The sequence below is a fragment of the Homo sapiens genome, chromosome 1, assembly GCF_000001405.40.
Source record: "Homo sapiens chromosome 1, GRCh38.p14 Primary Assembly".
Classification (NCBI taxonomy): Eukaryota; Metazoa; Chordata; class Mammalia; order Primates; family Hominidae; genus Homo; species Homo sapiens.
In genome coordinates this window covers 165564273-165583276 of record NC_000001.11, presented here as the reverse complement: position 1 = coordinate 165583276, position 19004 = coordinate 165564273, and the positions used below count along the sequence as shown (strand labels likewise).

At 41.8% G+C, this 19004-nt stretch overlaps 1 long non-coding RNA gene and 1 pseudogene across 1 annotated transcript in view; one reads left to right on the top strand and one right to left on the bottom strand.

Moving 5' to 3' along the window:
* RPS2P10 (ribosomal protein S2 pseudogene 10) lies at window positions 761-1719 on the bottom strand (annotated as a pseudogene).
* LRRC52-AS1 (LRRC52 antisense RNA 1) overlaps window positions 1122-19004 on the top strand; it is a 105314-nt gene continuing 87431 nt past the window's right edge. Inside the window, exons 1-3 of the long non-coding RNA NR_026744.2 lie at window positions 1122-1922; window positions 7908-7994; window positions 9189-9259. This is a non-coding gene — a long non-coding RNA (LRRC52 antisense RNA 1). The remainder of the gene's footprint in view (window positions 1923-7907; window positions 7995-9188; window positions 9260-19004) is intronic.

Genomic DNA, 19004 nt, shown 5'->3' with positions numbered 1-19004 from the left:
ATATGTATACGTATATACATATATGTGTGTATATGTATACGTATATACAATGTATGTATATATGTATACATATACATACATATATACATGCATGTATGTATATGTGTATATATACATACATATACACATACATACACATATATGTGTATATGTATACACATACATACACATATATGTGTATATGTATACACATACATACACATATATGTGTATATGTATACACATACATACACATATATGTGTATATGTATACACATACATACACATATATGTGTATATGTATACACATACATACACATATATGTGTATATGTATACACATACATACACATATATGTGTATATGTATACACATACATACACATATATGTGTATATGTATACACATATACATATGTGTATACGTATACACGTATATATGTATACACACATACATACGTATAGATGTATACACACACATACATACGTATAGATGTATACACACATACATACGTATATATGTATACACACACATACGTATATATGTATACACACATACATACGTATATATGTATACACACACATATACGTATATATGTATATAGACACATATACGTATATATGTATATATACACACATATATACGTATATATGTATATATACACACATATATACGTATATATGTATATATACACACATATATACATATATATAATGTATATACACACACATATATACATATATAATATGTATATATACACACACATATATGTATGTATATTTTACAGGCTTAATTAACTTTCTTTTTCTTGTATAAAAACCCTATGTTGTAGCTACAGCTGGAGCCTGGGTCCTCTGCACGGAGACTCTGGTGTGGGTCTTGGCGAGGTGGTCAGTGAATTCTTGATAGGGACACTTGGTGAATACAGCCGTCCTCCAGAGGTCAGGGGTCAGGTAGCTGTAGGTCTTAGAGATGGCATCAAAGGTGGCCTTGGCGAAGTTGCTCAGAGTGGCAGTGCAGCCCCTGGCTGAGGTGTAGCAGTCATCGATACCAGCCATCATGAGCAACTTCTTGGGCACAGGCGCCGAGACGATACCGGTGCCTCTGGGCACGCGGATGAGGCGCACGAGCACGGAGCCGCAGCAGCCCGTCACCTTGCAACGGATGGTGTAGGGCTTGCCGATCTTGTTCCCCTAGTAACCTCTGCGCATGGGGACAATGGAGAGCTAGGCCAGGATGATGGCCCTGTGGATGGCAGTGGCCACCTCCTTGGAGCACTTAACACCCAGACCGACGTGACCGTTGTAGCCCGCAATGGCCACAAACGCCTTGAACCTGGTTCGCTGGCCGGCTCCGGTCTGCTTCTGCACCGGCATAATCTTCAAAACCTAGGCCTCGAGAGAGGCCCCCCAGGAAAAAATCAATGATCTCAGATTCCGTGATGGGCAGGGAGAAGAGACAGATCTCCTCCAGGGAAGTGATCTTCATGTGCTTGACCAGGCAGCCCAGCTTGCTGACGGGCATCCACTCCTTATCCTTGGCCTTGCCTCCGCGAGCTCCGTGGCTTCGGCCCCAGCCTGGTCCACGGCAGTGACCCCGGCCTCGGATGCCACTGCCGAAACCTCCACGGAAGCCACCATGGTTCCCCATCCCAGGGCCCCGGGGCCTCCGGGACTCCCCCCGCAACCCAATGCCGGCTGCGCCGGCGTCATCCGCCATTTGGTGTTTTCTCGGAGAAGAAGCTACATGTGGAATATATTAACGCAACAAATTGTGCGTACTTGCTAGACATTAGGCATGATAGCAAGTGCTAGGGTTACAAAGTATTGCTTTTTGGGGAACCCATGGTTGTTGGGGAGAAACCAGAAGATCAGTCATCACAGTGCGGCAAGATCAGACTTGTGGTTTGTTCAGGTTCTGGGAGCCGTCACTGCAGTGAGAATGGGTGAGTTGGGGCAGGCTGTGGTGTCTGGGAAATTTTAAAATAGAAGTGATACTTGAGCAAGAAGTTGAAGGATGAATATGGATTTATAGAATAAGCAGGGTGTAGAGACATGTGTGCATGTGTGTGTGTATTTCATAAAGAAAGACATGCATGTGCAAAGGCCTGGAGGCTGTTGATGTCAGCAGAATGTTCTGAGGAATGAGTAAGATGAAACAGATGAAACACTTAAAGGCATTTTTTCTCCATTAGTCAAGTCTAGGAGAGGCATTCAATGTCTAATGTCTAACTAGGGTTAGGATTTGAAGAATCTTTCTAAGATGTCTGGTCTTTTTTTTTTTTTCTTTTAGAGATGGGGTTTCACTGTGTTGCCTAAGCAGTGGCTATTCATAGGCACAGTTACAGCACACTGCAGTCTTGAACTCCTGGACTCAAACTATCCTCCTGCCTTGGCCTCCAAAGTAGCTAGGGCTACAGGCACATGTGACTGTGCCTGAGTAAGACGTCCCCTCTCAAAAGTCAGCAAATAAAAGGCAGCTTAGAGAAAGCCATGGTTCCTACCTGATCACCCTCCCAACCATCCTATGAGGATTTTACAGATGAGGACCCTGACGTTCAGTGGGTTTAAGTAATTTCCCTAAAGTCTCTGCTAGGAAGAAGGAGAACTGGGCTTTCCATTGGAGTCTGCCTCACTCCAAAGCCCACGACAAATTGTGAACATAAGTTCCTCTTTATCTGATGACTTGGGACTTTGTCTCACCTTAGGACCAGTCTTCTGTATGTGAGATTATTAGGTAGTTTGGTAGCTGGAGATGTAGCAGCAGATGCAGAGGTCTGAGCACATGGACTGGCCTTAGGCAGTGTCCAGACTAGTGGGCCTCTGACTTCAGAGTGCCTAAGCATCCTCTGAGGGACTGCTCACAGTTCAGATTCCCAAACCCTGCTTCAGAGGGTCTGTCTTGTTATGACGCACCTAGGGTGACTCTGATGCAGATGGTACATGGTTCACACTTAACATCGCTCTTAATGAATTTCTTATATGAATTTGGTTGTCTCTCCCTCCCTCCCTCCCTTTCTTCTCTCCTGCCTTCCATTCTCTCCCTCCTTCCCTTCCTCCTTTCCTCTCTTTCTCCCTTCCTTCTTTTTGCCTTTATTTCTTTCTTGGTGTTTTGCTTATTCTCAGATTGCAGGATTGGGAAAAGCCAAAATAATCAAGGCTTCTGTCAGTTGGTTCCAATGACTTGAGGAAATCACTCAAACTACTATTCATTCTCTCTTTCTGTGTGTGTGTTCCCTGTCTCTCCAACAAGAGTATGCATTCCTTGCAGGCAGAATTCACGTATTTTGTGTGCCTTTCACAGATGCTTCCATGGTCATGCTCCCGGGTACACTGGGTGCCTAGTACCTTTTGACTACTTTTCAACTAGGCATTTTGAAAAATGTAATTCATCCAAGGCAGGCAGGCTTAGCTGCTTGCCTCAACATTCTGTGCTGTCCTGTGGACTTCCTGTGAATGTCCTCCACACAGCCTCTGTCTTTTCTAGCTCTTCTGCCCTTCACACCATCCTGGAGAGTCCTTGATGGGTGGAACATAGACTCAGGCCTAGTGACTCTTTTCCAGTCTCAGCTCTCAGCGTTTTCACAGCCTCTGGTGAAACTTCACCCCTTGGGAACCTGCAGACCTGTGCTTCCCTAGTCATGCTCACCTATTTGATGCTTTTATCATCTTGTGTTTCTAAAAAAGGATATCCCTTTTTGGTTGACTTTTGATTCAGCTCTCCTTGTTGCAGTTGGCTTAATATCTAGGTAGAGCTGTGTGGATGATCTGACCTTGTCCTAGTTAGGCAGTTTTCTCTTCTCTTCTGGGCTTTTAGTGACAAGAACCCAACCTTCTTAGCAGGCTGGAATCTTGCACAACATCACGCAAATGGGAGATTCCTGTCTGTGTTTCTGCCTTTCTGCCTTTCTGCCTTGGCCTATCTACCTGAATTCTGAAGTCAGATTACATGGGTTTGAATTCTGCTTGCTGACTCTGAACTTGGGCAATGTTTTTTTTTTTTTTTTTGTCTCACTCTGTCACCCAGGCTAGAGTGCAGTGGCACGATCTTGGCTCACTGCAACCTCTGACTCCCTGGTTCAAGCGATTCTCCTGCCTCAGCCTCCCAAGTAGCTGGGAATACAGGCACGAGCCACCACGGCAATTTTTTAAAGCGCTCTAATCTCCCATTTTCTCATCTGTAAAATGAGGATCATAAGGTGGTTACAAGGTTTAAAGAAAAGGATGCTCGAAATGAGAGAATACCTGGAGTACAGTAAATGGCTATTGCAATTATTGTTATTGGGTGATTTTTTTTGTTCCTTCACTTTCCCAATTCACATTCTATTGGTCCTACAAGGCCCAGATAGAACTGTGCCCCATCCACAAAGCTTTTACTGTCCACTGAAGCCAGTGGAGAACTCTGTCCCAAATTCTCATGATTGCTGATGTCTGAGATTCATGCTTGCTTATTTCCTTTAATATTTAATGTGTTACTACTGTACTGGATGCTAATTAATTTTATTCTTCCTCCCTATTGTGGAGAAAAGTCCTTGAATACTGAAAATAGACTTATTTTTTCTTTTAGCCTCTCCACTATCAGTTATGTTAGACACCCTTCTTACGGGTGTCATGATTAAGGACATATAAATCAATACACTCAACATAAACTCATTTGGGATAAATTGAGATAAATTGGCAGTGTCTACACTGCAAATGACAACATCCTGTTGTCTGACATTCAGCCATCTTTATCCTGTTGCTTTTACTAGATGAGGAAGAAAGTCCTTTTTTAAGGAGTAGTGCATTTTGGGCTTTGAGTGAGTCACTGGTAGAGAATAGGTGGAAGAAACCTGTCTCCTAAAGCTGGTGATTTGCAGCCCTGGATGAGCAGGAGAATTGCCTGAGGAGCTTAAAAACAACACAGATATTAAGCCATATGGGCCAGTTAAATCCATATCTCTGTGGTGATTAAGACTTATAGAAAATACTATACCTGATATAGTATTTTTTAAAAGGCTTACCAGGTAGTTTAATTATGCGGCTGAGGTTAAGAACCTTTCCCTGTTCTGAAGTCAGGTTCCCCAACCCCTATGCCTGATGAATGGACTTTGAATTATCTGCATCCAGTCTGTTTTTCTGGGGTGATGGCTGCAATTAGCTTGTAGGAATTAGCTTTTAATAAAGCATGGTTTTCTTAAGGGTCCAAACCATGCCATTAAAGAGGTTATGATGCCAGAATGCCTTGCAGCCTTGCTCACTGACACTCAGTATACCTACGAATAGAAGTTTCCTTGCCCTAGGTCACTAGTGGCATAGCAGAGAACTGACTGAGCTCTCTAAGGACCTAAAGTATTTATAACTCTTATAGTATTTCTGCAAGGTGAGCTTTGCTGCCAGAAGCCTGAATTGGGGCCGCTAAGTCTCTAGGCAGAGAAGTCCAGTACAGCTGCTGTAGGCTGCTTGGGGAGACAGTTCTTAGTGTGGAGAGGTAGGAACTCAGGTGCCCTTCCCAGAGGACACAAAGGAGAAAGGCTGGAGAGGAGATTTATCAGGCTGCCTCCTTTGCCGTGTTTCTGATATTTTGCAAAGGAATCATTAAGACCTTTTAAAAAACAGATTTATTGAGGTATCATTTGCATACCATAAACTTCATCTGTTTTAAGTGAACAATTCAATGAGGTTTCATAAATTTGCAGAGCTGTGCAACCATTAGCACAATCCAGTTTTAGAATATCTCCATCATCCCTCAGAAATCCCTTGTACCTATTTGCAGTTAGTTCCTGCTTCCAGCCCCACATCCAGGCAACCAGGAATCTGCATTCTGTTACTATAGTTGTGTCTTTATTGGATGTTTCATATAAATGAAATCACACAATATGTAGTACTTTGTGCCTGGCTTCTTTAATATTCCTGAGGCCCATTCATGTTGTATCATGTATCAGTATTTTTTTTTCCTGAATTGTTCATTGTGTGGCTATGTCACATTTTATTTATTTATTCAACAGTTAGTGGGCATTTGGATTATTTCTACTTTTTGGCTATTGTAAATAATGCTGCTATGAACATTTTGTACAAATTTTTGTGTGGAGGTATGCTGTCATTTCTCTTGGATAAATAGCTAGGGGTGAACTCACTGGGTTGTATGGTAAATTTATATTTCAGAAACAGCCAAATTGTTTCCCAAAGTGGCTATAGCATTTTGTATTCTCACCATAATGCATGAAGTTTCCAACTTCTCTACATCCTCACCACTCTCGTTATTGTCTGTCTTTCTGATTCTATTGGGTGTACAGTGGTATCTTATGGTTTTAATTTACATTTCCTTAATAATGAATACTGTTGGCATTTTTTCATGGGATTATTTGTCATTTATATATCTCCTCTGTCTAAATATCTCTTCAACTCTTTTATTCATTTTCAGATTGGTTTCTTGTCTTATTATTTAGTTGTAAGAGTTCTTTACAAATTCTGAATAAGTACATTTTTAGATATATGATTTGCAAATATTTTCTCAGTGGCTTGTTCTTTCACTTTCTTAATGGTTTCTTTTGAAGCTCGAAGTGATTAAGTTTGATGAAGTCCACATGTGATTTTTTTTTCCTTTTTGAGTCATACTTTTAGTGTTCTATTTAAGAAATATTTGCCTACCCAAGATCAAGAAGACTTTCTTCTAGATTTTAGGAGATTTTAGATTTTCTTCTAATACTTTTATAGCTTTAGCTCTTACATTTAAGCGTGTGATTAATTTTGAGTTATTTTTTCTGTATGATGTGAGCAGGGGTGTACATTAATCTTTTTGTGTGTAGATATCCATTTGTTCCAACACTATTTTTTGCAAAGATTATCCTTTCCCCTTTGAATTGTCTTGGTGCCTTTGTTGAAAATCAATTCACCATAAATATAAGGGATTATTTCTGGACTCTCAATTTTGTTCCAGTGATTTATATGTTTATCTTTATAGTCAGTACTACACTGTGTTGATTACTGTAGCTTTATGATACATTTTGCAATTAATTATAAGTCTTCCAACTTTCTTTTTATTTCCAAATTGTTTTGGCTACTCTGAGTCCTTTGTATTTCCATGTAAGTATTAGAATCAACTTTTCAATTTCTGCAAAAAAAAAAAAAACCTGCTGGGATAATATTATAGATCAATTTGGGGGGAATTATTGGTACCTTAACAATACTGAGCTTCCAGTATATGAATGAAATGTTTCTCCCTTAATATAGGTTTCCTTTAATTTTTCTGAGCAATGACTTAATTTTTGGTGTACAATTCTTATAATCAATACCTTCTTGTGAGTTTGTGTGGTCCTGCCAGGGACACTTGTTTTTTTCTCAGAGGTCTCATTGAAAGCAATGGACAGAGATAACCAGCTGAGCAGCTAAGAGCAGGAGGCAGTGTGCCAAGTGGGAAAGGCGTGGGCCTGGGGGTCAGGAGGACCGGGTCTGAGCTGTGGCAAGCCACTTAACCTCTCAGTTTGCTGACCTCTAAAATGAATGTAATACAATTTGTTTTGCTTCAATGTTGTAAGCACTAGAGTTAGAAAAATGTTGGTATAGAGTGGGTGTTCACGATTTGCTGCCTGACCTTGTTGGTGCCTGTGATGATGATTATACAGCATTGTGCATGCCATTAAAGGGGAGGGGAGGAACTTGAGAGGAGATCTTAGGGCCCTAGTCCTGGCCACAGAGTCTCCTTGCAGCCCAAGACAGAAGCTGATGATTCACAGTAGAGAAGAAGTGAATATTCCAGTTCATTTTATCTTCAAACAGCTAATTGGATTAGCTACTATCACCCGAATTTTACACCAAGAAAACTGATGATCAGAGAAATAAAGCCAAGTTCCTAGGACCACAAAGTGGGTAAGAGGCAGAGCAGGATTTAAACCCAGATTTGTTTGACTTCAAAGCTTATGCTTTTTCACTATTTCTCCTCACACCCACTGACCCCACAATGTCTCATAAGGGGATCTGCAAGGCAGCCCTAAATTCCAAGCAGGACATGTAACTCCTCAATGGACAAATGGACACTGGTAAGTGATTACTATATCTTGCTTCTCCTTGTTCCTTAATATGTTAAAGGTTTAACTTTGCCTCAAGATTCAGAAAGGTAGTTATGACTCCTATTACCAAGGATCAGGTGGGAAACCCAAGCTGAATTCATAAGGGGTGATCACAGTGAGCTATTACAAAAAGTCACCTGGCTATAGAGATTGAGATAAAAATGTAACCTTTGTTTCCAATGTTTCAGTGCGACCTGACTTGAGCACCACATTTCACCAAATTTCAAGCTATAAGGCTCCCATTTTCTCAGCTATGATAGTTTGTGAGAGGAAGGTGGAGCTTGTGGCAATATGAGCTTCGGATCCGGAGCTGTAAATATTCTCCTGCTGGTTGCTCTTGGCTTGCTCAACAGCAGCACAACTGTCAATGTATTAATATGTCTTGTTTCCCATGTGGGAGACTTACGTTTTGATATCTAGGAGATTCATTTCATTAATATGGCAATATAGAGAATGCATGGGCTTTGGAATCAGTTAGATGAATTTTTGTTCCATTTCCATTATTTATTTGCTAGCTTTGTGATCCTGAGAAATGTATTTAACTTATCTGAGCCTATTTGTTCATGTAAAATGGTGAAAATAATTGTCATGAGGATTAAGATGAGATGATGTCTATAAATCACTTATTAGTGCCAGGTATATAATACAATCTAGACAAATAGTGCTATTTCTTCTTTGGACTGGAGTTTAAAATAAGTAGATTTGGTGTCAAAGATATCTCACTGTGGACAAGTATATTAGTCAGCATTTGCTGCAGTAACAAACAGCCCCCAAAGCTCAGCTGCTAAAAGTCACATTCAGGCCAGGTGTGGTGTAGTGGCTCATGCCTATAATCCCAGCATTTTGGGAGGCCAAGGTGGGAGAATTGCTTGAAGCCAGGATTTTGAGACCAGCCTAGGCAACACAGTGAGACCCCTATCTCTACAAAAATTAAGAAAAAATAGCTGGGCATGGTGGCACACACCTATAGTCCCAGTCCCTCTCGCTGAGGCAAGAGGATCACTTGACCCCACGAGTTCAAGTCTGCAGTGAACCATGACTGGGTTACTGCTTTCCAGCCTGGGCAGCAGAATGAGACCTCAACTCTATAAAATAAAAAAAAAAATCACATTCATTTATGTATTGCTTATGTTGGGTTCTGCTCTTTGTATCTTTTCATTGCAGGACCCTGGTTGAAGGAACCTGTTGTTCTTATGGTGGAGGGCAGAAACCCAAGAGGGCTGGAGCCAATCCATGTAAGTGTATTTAAAGTCTCTGCTTGGCCATGGTGTGTATCACATTTGCTCACATTCATGATCATATGGTCAAGCTCAGAGTCACTTGGTAGGTAAGTGTACTTCATCTAAAGGGAAACATGGTAGGAGCTTTGTAAATGAATAGTGTAATCTGTAGCAAGGAAGAATTTTAATAGAGGGAATTCTTGGTAATACAAGTATTGATCATTGCATACATGCAATATTCGAGCCTTTTCGTTTCTATCTTTCCCTTTGGCTATGGAAGTTTGTGTCCTTATTCAGTTTTTCTTACTTAAAGCAGAGCTGATGAAAGATAATTTGTCAATATCTGAGAAAAGGTTTCCTGTTTCTCTTCCACCCTCTTATTCTCAGCCACTTGTGATTCATCCTTCTGTGCTGCTGGCATTCTCAAAGCTTTCATAGGCTCCTTTTTCTTCTTCTTCTATGCTCTTCTACAGGTGATCTTATACATAAGCATGGCTTCAGTTAAGTACTCTCTGTTGATTCTTACTTCCACATTCTCAGCACAGAAGCCTCAGAGTCCCAGACCCATATAACTTACTGCCTGCTCGACATCTCTGCTATGATTTCCACATAAATGTCAGTATAGTAAGACTTAACTCTAGTCACCGTAAGTGTACCCTCAAGGACAAGGCCATCCAGCCAGTTGTTCTTGGCAAACACTTAGAATCCATTCTTAGTATCTCCTTCTCCCTTACTCTCCTATCCAATCAATTTACAGATTCTCTTCTCTTTATCTCATTGGGGACCCTGTGATCAGCCACTTCTTCCCATCCCTACTGCTACCACCAAACCATGATCCTCTTTCACCTGGCTATTGCAATGTCCTCTAACTGTCTTTTTACATCCTTTCTTTTTCCTTTCTAGTCAGAGTCTTTTTATTTAAATTCAAACTTGGTCATCTTCTTTTGGCTTAAAACTCTTCGATGACTTTCAGTAGCTTTTAGGATAAAGACCAAAACCCTTTCCATGGCCCTGCTGATTTGGCCTTTTCCTGTCTCTCCCATTTTATTTTGCACCACTCTTCTTATTGCTTATATTGTAGCTTCAATGTTCTCCTCTTTCAAGTCCTTGAATATGTCATGCTGTCACCTACCTTGGCGACTTTGCACATGCTTTCCTCAGTTGCAATGTTTTTTCCTGACCTCCATCCTTGAAATCCCAGCTCAGATGTCTCCTTGTTGAAACACTCCTTAGCTTCTCCAGACTGAGAGAACTCTTTGCTCTTCTGTGGTCTAAAAAAGTCTAAACATATATTTATGTGTGAAGAATCCATCTTATAATGTTATTATTTGCTTATATGACCCTCTGCCTGAGGTGCAAAGTCTTAGAGTAGGGTACCATTTCATTTTCCAAACAATTTTTAAAAAATCTTTTTCTGTCAAAAAAAAATTTTGCAAAACCCAGCTAAGGCTTAGAGAAACCAAGATTCCCCACTTGAGGACTTCTTTTAAATGAAACCCGATACTAACAAGCGTAAAAAAATTGGAGGCAGCTGGGCACGGTGGCTCATGCCTGTAATCCCAGCACTTTGGGAGGTTGAGACGAGTGGATCATGAGGTCAGAAGTTCAAGACCAGTCTGGCCAAGATGGTGAAACCTCTTCTCTATTAAAAATACAAAAATTAGCCAGGCGTGGTGGCAGGCGCCTGTAATCCCAGCTACTCAGGAGGCTGAGGCAGGAGAATCACTTGAACCCGGGAGATGGAGGTTGCAGTGAGCCCGAGATCATGCCATTACACTCTAGCCTGGGCAATAAGAGCAAAACTCCATCTAAAATTAAAAAAACAAAAAACAAAAAAAACAAAAAAAAGGAGGTAGGGGGAATATCAGAGCTCTAGCCCACAACCTTTATTTTTACTAACAAAGAAATTGAAGGCTAGAGAGATAAAATTGTTTGCTTATGATTATGCAGCTGGTGGTGTCAAGCAAGAATGAAACATGAGTGCTATGAGTCCATCTGAAAAAGAGCATTCTTGTGTGTGGGTGCTAAGGTGGCTCATTCTCTCCCCCAAACCACCAGTTTTTTTGAACACCTAATTTGTGCTAGGAATGATATTAAAGTCCTTTATATGAAGAGTCTCTAACTTTTAGAACCACAAGGCGAGTTTAATCCCCATTTTAATTTGAGGGAAAAGGAGAATAACAGAGATTATAATGTGTTCAAGGCTCATGTCACTCACTAGGAAATGTCTAACCATGTCAATAATACTTATCATTATATTATATTTCTTTTTACTTGTTTATTGGGCAGGGTGAGGAGTTAAGGCTAGATCAGCCTAAGGAGATTTTCACTGGAAACTGGTAATCCCTGAGAAGCTTTCTTAGTAGGAGACTTGAGAGGTTTCAGCGCTTCAGTGTAAGTTGTTGCAGTATGAGTTTCAGTGAGCCTGTAATTCAAAGAGCTTTATGGAGCCCCTACCATGTGTACTGCATCATGCCAAGTTAAGTGCAGGTAAAGAAGAACTAGAAGCCATGAGTATGCGCCAGTCCTGATCCATTTTGCTGAATGAGAATGAGCCCAGAGTCACTTAAATGAGTGCGAGGAGTGGCATGCAAGTAAACTCTAAGTTATGTACCTGAGTCTGTTGTTCTTTTTTTCTTTTTTTTTTTTTTGAGATGGAGTTTTGCTCTTGTTGCCTAGGCTGGAGTGCAGTGGCGCAATCTCGGCTCACTGCAATCTCTGCCTCCTGTGTTCAAGTGATTCTTCTGCCTCAGCCTCCCGAGTAGCTGGGATTATAGGCATGCGCCACCACACCTGGCTAATTTTGTAATTTTAGTAGACACGGGGTTTCACCATGTTGGTCGGGCTGGTCTCGAACTCCTGACCTCAGGTGATCCGCCCGCCTCGGCCTCTCAAAGTGCTGGGATTACAGGCGTGAGCCACCGCGCCTGGCTGTTGTTCTTAAATGTTAATCTCTTGGCCTAAATAGTCGGCCTGCTTAAAACATCAACCAGCCCTAACCCTTTCATCATCTGATTCTTGTCAAACACGGAGTGTTGTGTTGAGAATTCCCCACATTCTTAGTGGTTCCTCTGTACTCCTCAGTAGTATCAGAACTATTATTGCCAGAGCTGATTGACAGTGTGCAGTCTTCACCATCTGGCTCCTTGCAAAGAGCGGATAATCCTTTTAAAGTCTTAATAGTAATAGATGATTTGTTTGGCCTTATTTTCTAACATTAGCTTTTAGACAGACTGTGTCAAATCCACAGGTTTTGAATTTGCATCCTAGCCTAGAGATGGAGAGCAGTTACTTAGAAACAGGAGAGCTGAGAACAGGGTCATGCAAAATAAGATTTGGAAAAATGTATTTTGCTAATTTCCCTAACATGGAAGTCTTTTTATCTGTACCTAGTGGGAGAGTAAGTTGGTAGAGAAAACGTGAAACGTGGTGTCAGGAAGACCTGGGTTGCTGAACATCTCAGTTGTGCTGGGGACTAGCCAGTGAAACAGGACAACTGTGAATCTTTCTAAGCATTAGTTTTTTTAACCCATACAATGAGGACAGTAGTATCTTTCAAAGTTGTGGAGTGATTTGTGAGTTAGAAATCATTCTAAAATTATTAGGTAGTGTTCTATGTGGAGCCCAGTCCTTTCTTCCTCAGGTGGGCCGGTGTTGAGGAAATGTAGGGAGGTGGGTGGGGTTGTACATGGAAGGGTTGCTTGTGAGGTATCCTCAGCCCAGTAACGACCTTGCAATCTCAGAAACAGCTGCTGTGTAGATGGGCTTGGCAAAGACCCGGCAAAAGGAGAAACTTCAACAGATGGGCTCAGGGGAGGTGACCAGACACTGCTTCCCTCCTCCCCTTTTGTTAACCTCAGGTATAGAAGGTTGAATTACTCAGAATCCTCCCTTAATGGTGTGTTATCATCCTTGATCCAGACTAGGCTCCTCTCTTATTTTGTTTAATCCCCTTTATCGCCAATTCCCACTCATCATTTTCTGCATGTGCATTCATATAATGTGTTTAAAAGTGTATTTAAAATAGTGCCTTTTTTGGGACAGGTTTTGCTCTCATTCTTGGGAGACATCAGTGAACAAAATAAGCAAAAATGCCCATTCTCAGGGAGCTTATATTCTAGAGGTGAAGGTGGGGATGAGAAGACAGTACTTATTGCCTTTTAGACTAGGATACAATTTAGTTATTATAATTGATTATTGTCTAAGTTAAAAATTGAGCAGGGTAAGGGAAAAGGAGTGTGAATGCATGTGTAGGGTACTTTGAAGGGTTACAAGCCCAGGAAGAGGGAAGAGCCAGTGCAAAGGCTCTGTGGCAGCATCAATGCCCCATATCATTTCATGGCAGCAGGGTGGCCAGTGAGGCTGGGCAGGGTAAGCAATGGGGTAGTGATAGAAGATGACATCAGTGAGGTAAAGAGGTGGTGGGGGTAGGGGTGGAGGCACATCATTTAGGGCCTGGTGGGAGATTGTGAAGACTTTGGCTCTTATTGTGAAGGAAATAGGGAGCCATTTCAGGATGCTGAGTGTTATAGAGTGTTCTCATTATATTTATTCTTTTTTCCCTACTCAGCTGTATTCATCTTGTTGCTAGATGTATACCTAGTTATTTATTTCTCTCTTCTTTTTTCTTTTTTTTTTCCTTTTTTTTTTTTTTTTTGAGACGGAGTCTCACTCTGTCGCTCAGGCTGGAGTGCAGTGGCATGATCTAGGCTCACTGCAAACTCCACCTCCTGGGTTCACGCCATTCTCCTGCCTCAGCCTCCCAAGTAACTGGGACTACAGGTGCCCGCCACCATGCCTGGCGATTTTTTTTTTTGTATTTTTTAGTAGAGATGGGGTTTCACCATGTTAGCCAGGTTGGTCTTGATTTCCTGACCTCATGATCCTCCCACCTCGGCCTCCCAAAGTGCTGGGATTACAGGCGTGAGCCACCACAGCCTGCCCCTAGTTATTTATTTGTAACTGTCCTATAGTAATCCACAAATTTTCCCTAGTCAGTCTTCCACACCCCTGCCATTACAAATAATACTGCCATGGATGTCTTCATATGTGTTCCCTTGTGGACTTGTATGATCATTTCTGTGGAGAAACACCCAGGAACAAGTGGATTTGCTGGGTCCCAGGTCCCACTGAATTTAATTTATTAGTGCCAGATGACTCTCTAGGCTGGCTGTGCCCATTTAGAGTCCCTTCAGCAAGGCATGAGGGTTCCTGCAGCCCAATATCCTTGCCAAAATGCAACATCCAGATTTCAAAGCTTTGCAAATCTAATAGAGACACAGTGACATCTATTGTTTTCATCTGCATTCTCTGATTACTGATGAGCATCAGCATATGCTTGCTAGTTTTTTTTTCATCTCCTATCCATTGCCTGTTCATATTCTTAGCCAGTTTTTTCTATTGGAGTTTCATGCTTTTCTTTTTGATTTGTAGGAGCTCCTTGTATGTTCTGGATATTATCCGGAGTTGTTTTTAGAAGCTTAGATTTAGAGGTGGCCTTTGAGGTAATCTAGTCTAACCACTTCATTTTACAGTTGGGGAAACTGAGACTCAAGCAATAAAGTGATTTTTTTCAGAGTACATATAGAGTGGAAAAGCTGAGACTCGAAATCCCTATATCATATTTAGTGGGAGGACTTGCACTGAGGCAGGAATGAAAGTCAAAGGTAAGCAGGAGCTGCAGGGCATTGCTGCTTCCCCACGATCTGCATTTCTTTGCAGGCAGAAAAGCCACTTTACCTGACTTGTTGGCCAAGGCTAGCTCTGGACCCAAGAGACCCTGGGTCTGATAACCATTTCCTCCTCCCATTCGCACTGCCATGACCTTATTTCAGGACTTTATCCTCTTGCTTGACTTGTGTTTCTCAAATTTTGGTGTGTATGAAATTCACCTAGCGAACTTACTAAAATGCGGGATACTGCCTATCCTTCCTGAGCATCTGAAGGACTGAGAGATCGTCAGGATCTTGATGTGGGTCCATGAGCCTTCTTTGGAGAAACATTTACCACTTTCGTGAGCTCCCTGATTGGTCTTCCATCTCCATTTTCTAGTCACCTTCATTTGTCTTCCAGGCTCCAAACACAACTACAGCTTTTCCCCTAACACATCTGTTTGCCATACCTCCATGCTCTAACCCTTACCATCCATTTGAAATGCTCCTTCCTGTGTGAAATTCTATGATTTTTCAAGATGTAGGTCAAGCATAATCTCCCCTAAAAAGCCCTCCTTGATTTTTCTGAGAATTAAGTGCAGGGGCCTATTGCAAATGGGGAAATGTGGCAGGTGGTATGAGTGTCCCACTGACTAGTACCCTACCCTTTGTAATCACAATGGACATCTCACCATTTAAGGTGGTTAAAGACAAAAGACACCTCTCAGAGGAAAGGAGCAACATCCTAGACCAGCTGGTCTTTCCTTTAAAAAAATTCATTTTTATCAGATATGTATGCACATAGTTTAAAGAGTAGCAGTTGTACAAATTTTTTTAAATTAAATAGCAGTCTTCCATTTTTTGTCCCAGTGTTTTTTCCTCTCCAGAGGCAAGCACCTGGAACTCTTTTTGCTGATTTCTTTTGATATGTCTAAAAATTATGCCTTTATTGCTCCCATTTGATTTTTCAGTGTTAGGCACCAGCTACCGACTTTCCACTGAGACAATGAGGATATAACCCTCCATCCTCCCCATATCCCTTCCCCATATTTTATTGCCCAGCACATTTTTGCATCCAGTATGCCATGTGGTGGTTTTCTCCTCCTTGGTGACTGATGCTGCCAGCCACCTGGCTGTCCAAATCAGAAATTTGGGCCCTCTCCTTAACTCCTTCTTCTTTCTCTGAATCCTCCCTCCATTAATTCTTCCCCAACATCCCAAATCCAGTTACTCATGAAATTCTGCCAACTCTACCTCTGACATAACCTCACAAATTCATCCAGTTCTGTTTGTTCCCACAGCCACTGCCTTTGGTCTATCACCCGCACCCCCTGCTAGAATACTGCAATACTGCTAGTCTCCCCATTTTCCGTCATGCCTCCCTCTGGTCTCTTCTTCACCTTACAGCCAGAGTGAGTTTTCTCAAATACAAATTAACTAGACTTGGTGGTTCTCATGCTTACAACTCTTGAGTGTACTTCATGAGCAAGTCCCATATCTTATCCTGGTGGGGCAGAGACAATTCCTTGTTTTCCACAGCATTTTTGGCACACAGACTATGTTTCTCTTCAGTAAGGTTGGGACCATGTGAAATGTGAGTTGAAGTGACACGTGTCATTTCCAGGCCCAGTAGTTACAAGCTGTGTGCCTATGGCCTCTCTTTTCTCTTCTGGAGTGGACCTCTGAGGCCATGTTCTAGGTGCTGGAGCTACAGGGTGGGAGGGCTCCCTACCCACATGGGACTCTACATGAGTGACAAATTAGTCTTTGTTGTGGTAAGCCAATGAAACTTTGGGGTTAATTTGTTATTGTAGCATAGCCTATCATAATCCTGACCAACACAGGGATATAAAAGGCCCTTCAGGATCTGGCCTTGCTTCTCTCTCTAACATTATTTCTCTTTTCTTCCTTCCCTTATACTCTATATTCCAGTTATAATGGCATGCCAGGCTCTTCCTCACTTCCAGGCCTTTGTAGATGCAGTTCTTGTTGCTTAGGATGTCTTTTTGTCACCCACATCCACTTTACCACTTTGTCTGGTGAATCTCAACTCAACTTTCAAGCCTCAGTGTAGATGCCTCTTCCTCTGAGAAGCCCTCCAGGATGCCCTACTGCCTCCTGGTTGAGGCGCCCTTCCTTTGGGTCCCCTTAGAATACTGTGCCGGCCCTTCACTTACCACTCTGTCTTGAAATGGACTTTTTTCTTGTTTCTCCACCAAACTGAACTGGAAGCTCCTTGAGCTTTCACCACTTTGCCACGTTCACTGTGATCTTCCCAGGCCTTGTCAGAGTAGGTGCTCAGCCCATTTTTGTGGAATTACTTATTGTTGGAAGATCCAGGCGAAATCTTAGGGGAGAAGCTATCATGAAAAGCTGCAATTCACATTTCTTTTGCCAAGACTTTCTTGGTAGTTTAAATTCCTGAGAGACAATATTGATTAGTGATTTGGAGGAAACAGTCTATAGTCAGCCACAGCTGGTTTCACTTCTGGTTGTACTAGATGTGTAATGTTTAGCAAGTTACTTACCCTCTTAAACCTCAGTTTCAGGATCTGATGGGAATAATGCTTACCTCATAGGATTGTTGTGATGATTCAATTAGTTGAGATGTGTGTGTTTGTGTGTGTATGTGTATGTGTTTGTGTGTATGTATATGCACTTAGAACAATGCCTAGCATATAGAAGTGCCCAATAAAGTTAGACGTGTTATTATATTAAAAATATCCTAAATGCAAACGTGGTATCCTAGATTGGGTCTTGGAACAGAGAAAAGGGCATTGTGGAAAAAAAAACTAATGAAATACCAATAAAGTGTGGAGTTTAGTTAATAATAGTGTTCCAATATAAATTTTTCAGCTTTGATAAATGTACCACTGTAATGTGAGATAACGTTAGGGGGAACTGGGTGAGAGGTATGTGGGAACTCTGTGCTACCTCTGTAGCTTAGTCCAAAGTTATTCCATAATAAAAAGTGTATTAAAATAAATTCTTATTATAATTGATATTCATTGTATTCTCAAAATATCCCTATATAAGCACTGCAGTGATTGCCACTTACAGATGAAGAAACTGAGACACACAAAAGTTAAATAACTTGCCCATGGTCACTCTTAGTTCAGGATAACAAAGTAGGAATGATTGGTGGGTTGGGATTTAAATAGAATGCAGTAATAAACACTTATTTTGTGGAAGTTATCACTCTATATGCTGTGTCAATAGAGAACACTGAAGGCAAATGGTCTCTGCTCTCAAGGTCATTATAAGTAGGAAGCCCAAGTTCACACAGTGCTAAGTGCAGAACTGGGGATAGAGATCCAGCTCCTGAGTCTGGACCCATGCTCTTAAGCATTGCACCAAACAAACTGGAGGGCAAGTGGTGATTAGAGTCACATGCAATTCACAGTGGAAGTGCAGATGTAAAAACGGGTCTGGTTGGGGGTTTAGAGACAGCTAGTTTCATGGGTGGGGGTTTGATCTGAGTCTTGAACATGAGTATAATTTGATCTGAGTAGAGCAAAAAGGAAAACCTGGAATGGGTCTTGGGGCCTGGGTTGAGCCAACCCTCTCTTCACTCCCTTTGCCACATGTCCCTGAGCGCAGGACATGCTTGTGTACACTTGGCTATTCTGTTTAGTGCTCAGTGATAAACAGTAGCTTGTAGTGAGAGGGCATGGACTTTGGCATGGGTCCAGCAGTTGCTCTGCTCTTACCAACTATGTGATCTTGAGCTGGTGACTTCATCTCTCCATGCCTCAGGAAAACGATGGTGACAATGACCACCTGACCTTGTTGTCACGCACATTAGCCCAGGGGGAAATGTGCATAAAGCTGGGCACAATGCTGGGTACTTGGGATGGACCCGCTGGGTGGTGGCCACCTTTGTGTGGCCAGGCTTACATGATGAACCCTTGGTTGTGCTGCTAAATATTTATATTTCATGTAAAGGAAAGAACATGGACTTTGGGAGGCTGTGTTACTTACCAGTTGGGTGACCTCAATCAGTTGTTTAACTTGTTCAGGCCTCAAATTTTCACGGTAAAATAATATCAATATTATAGGATGGCTGTGATAACTACAAGATGGAGTGTGAAGATGGTACATGGATGGAC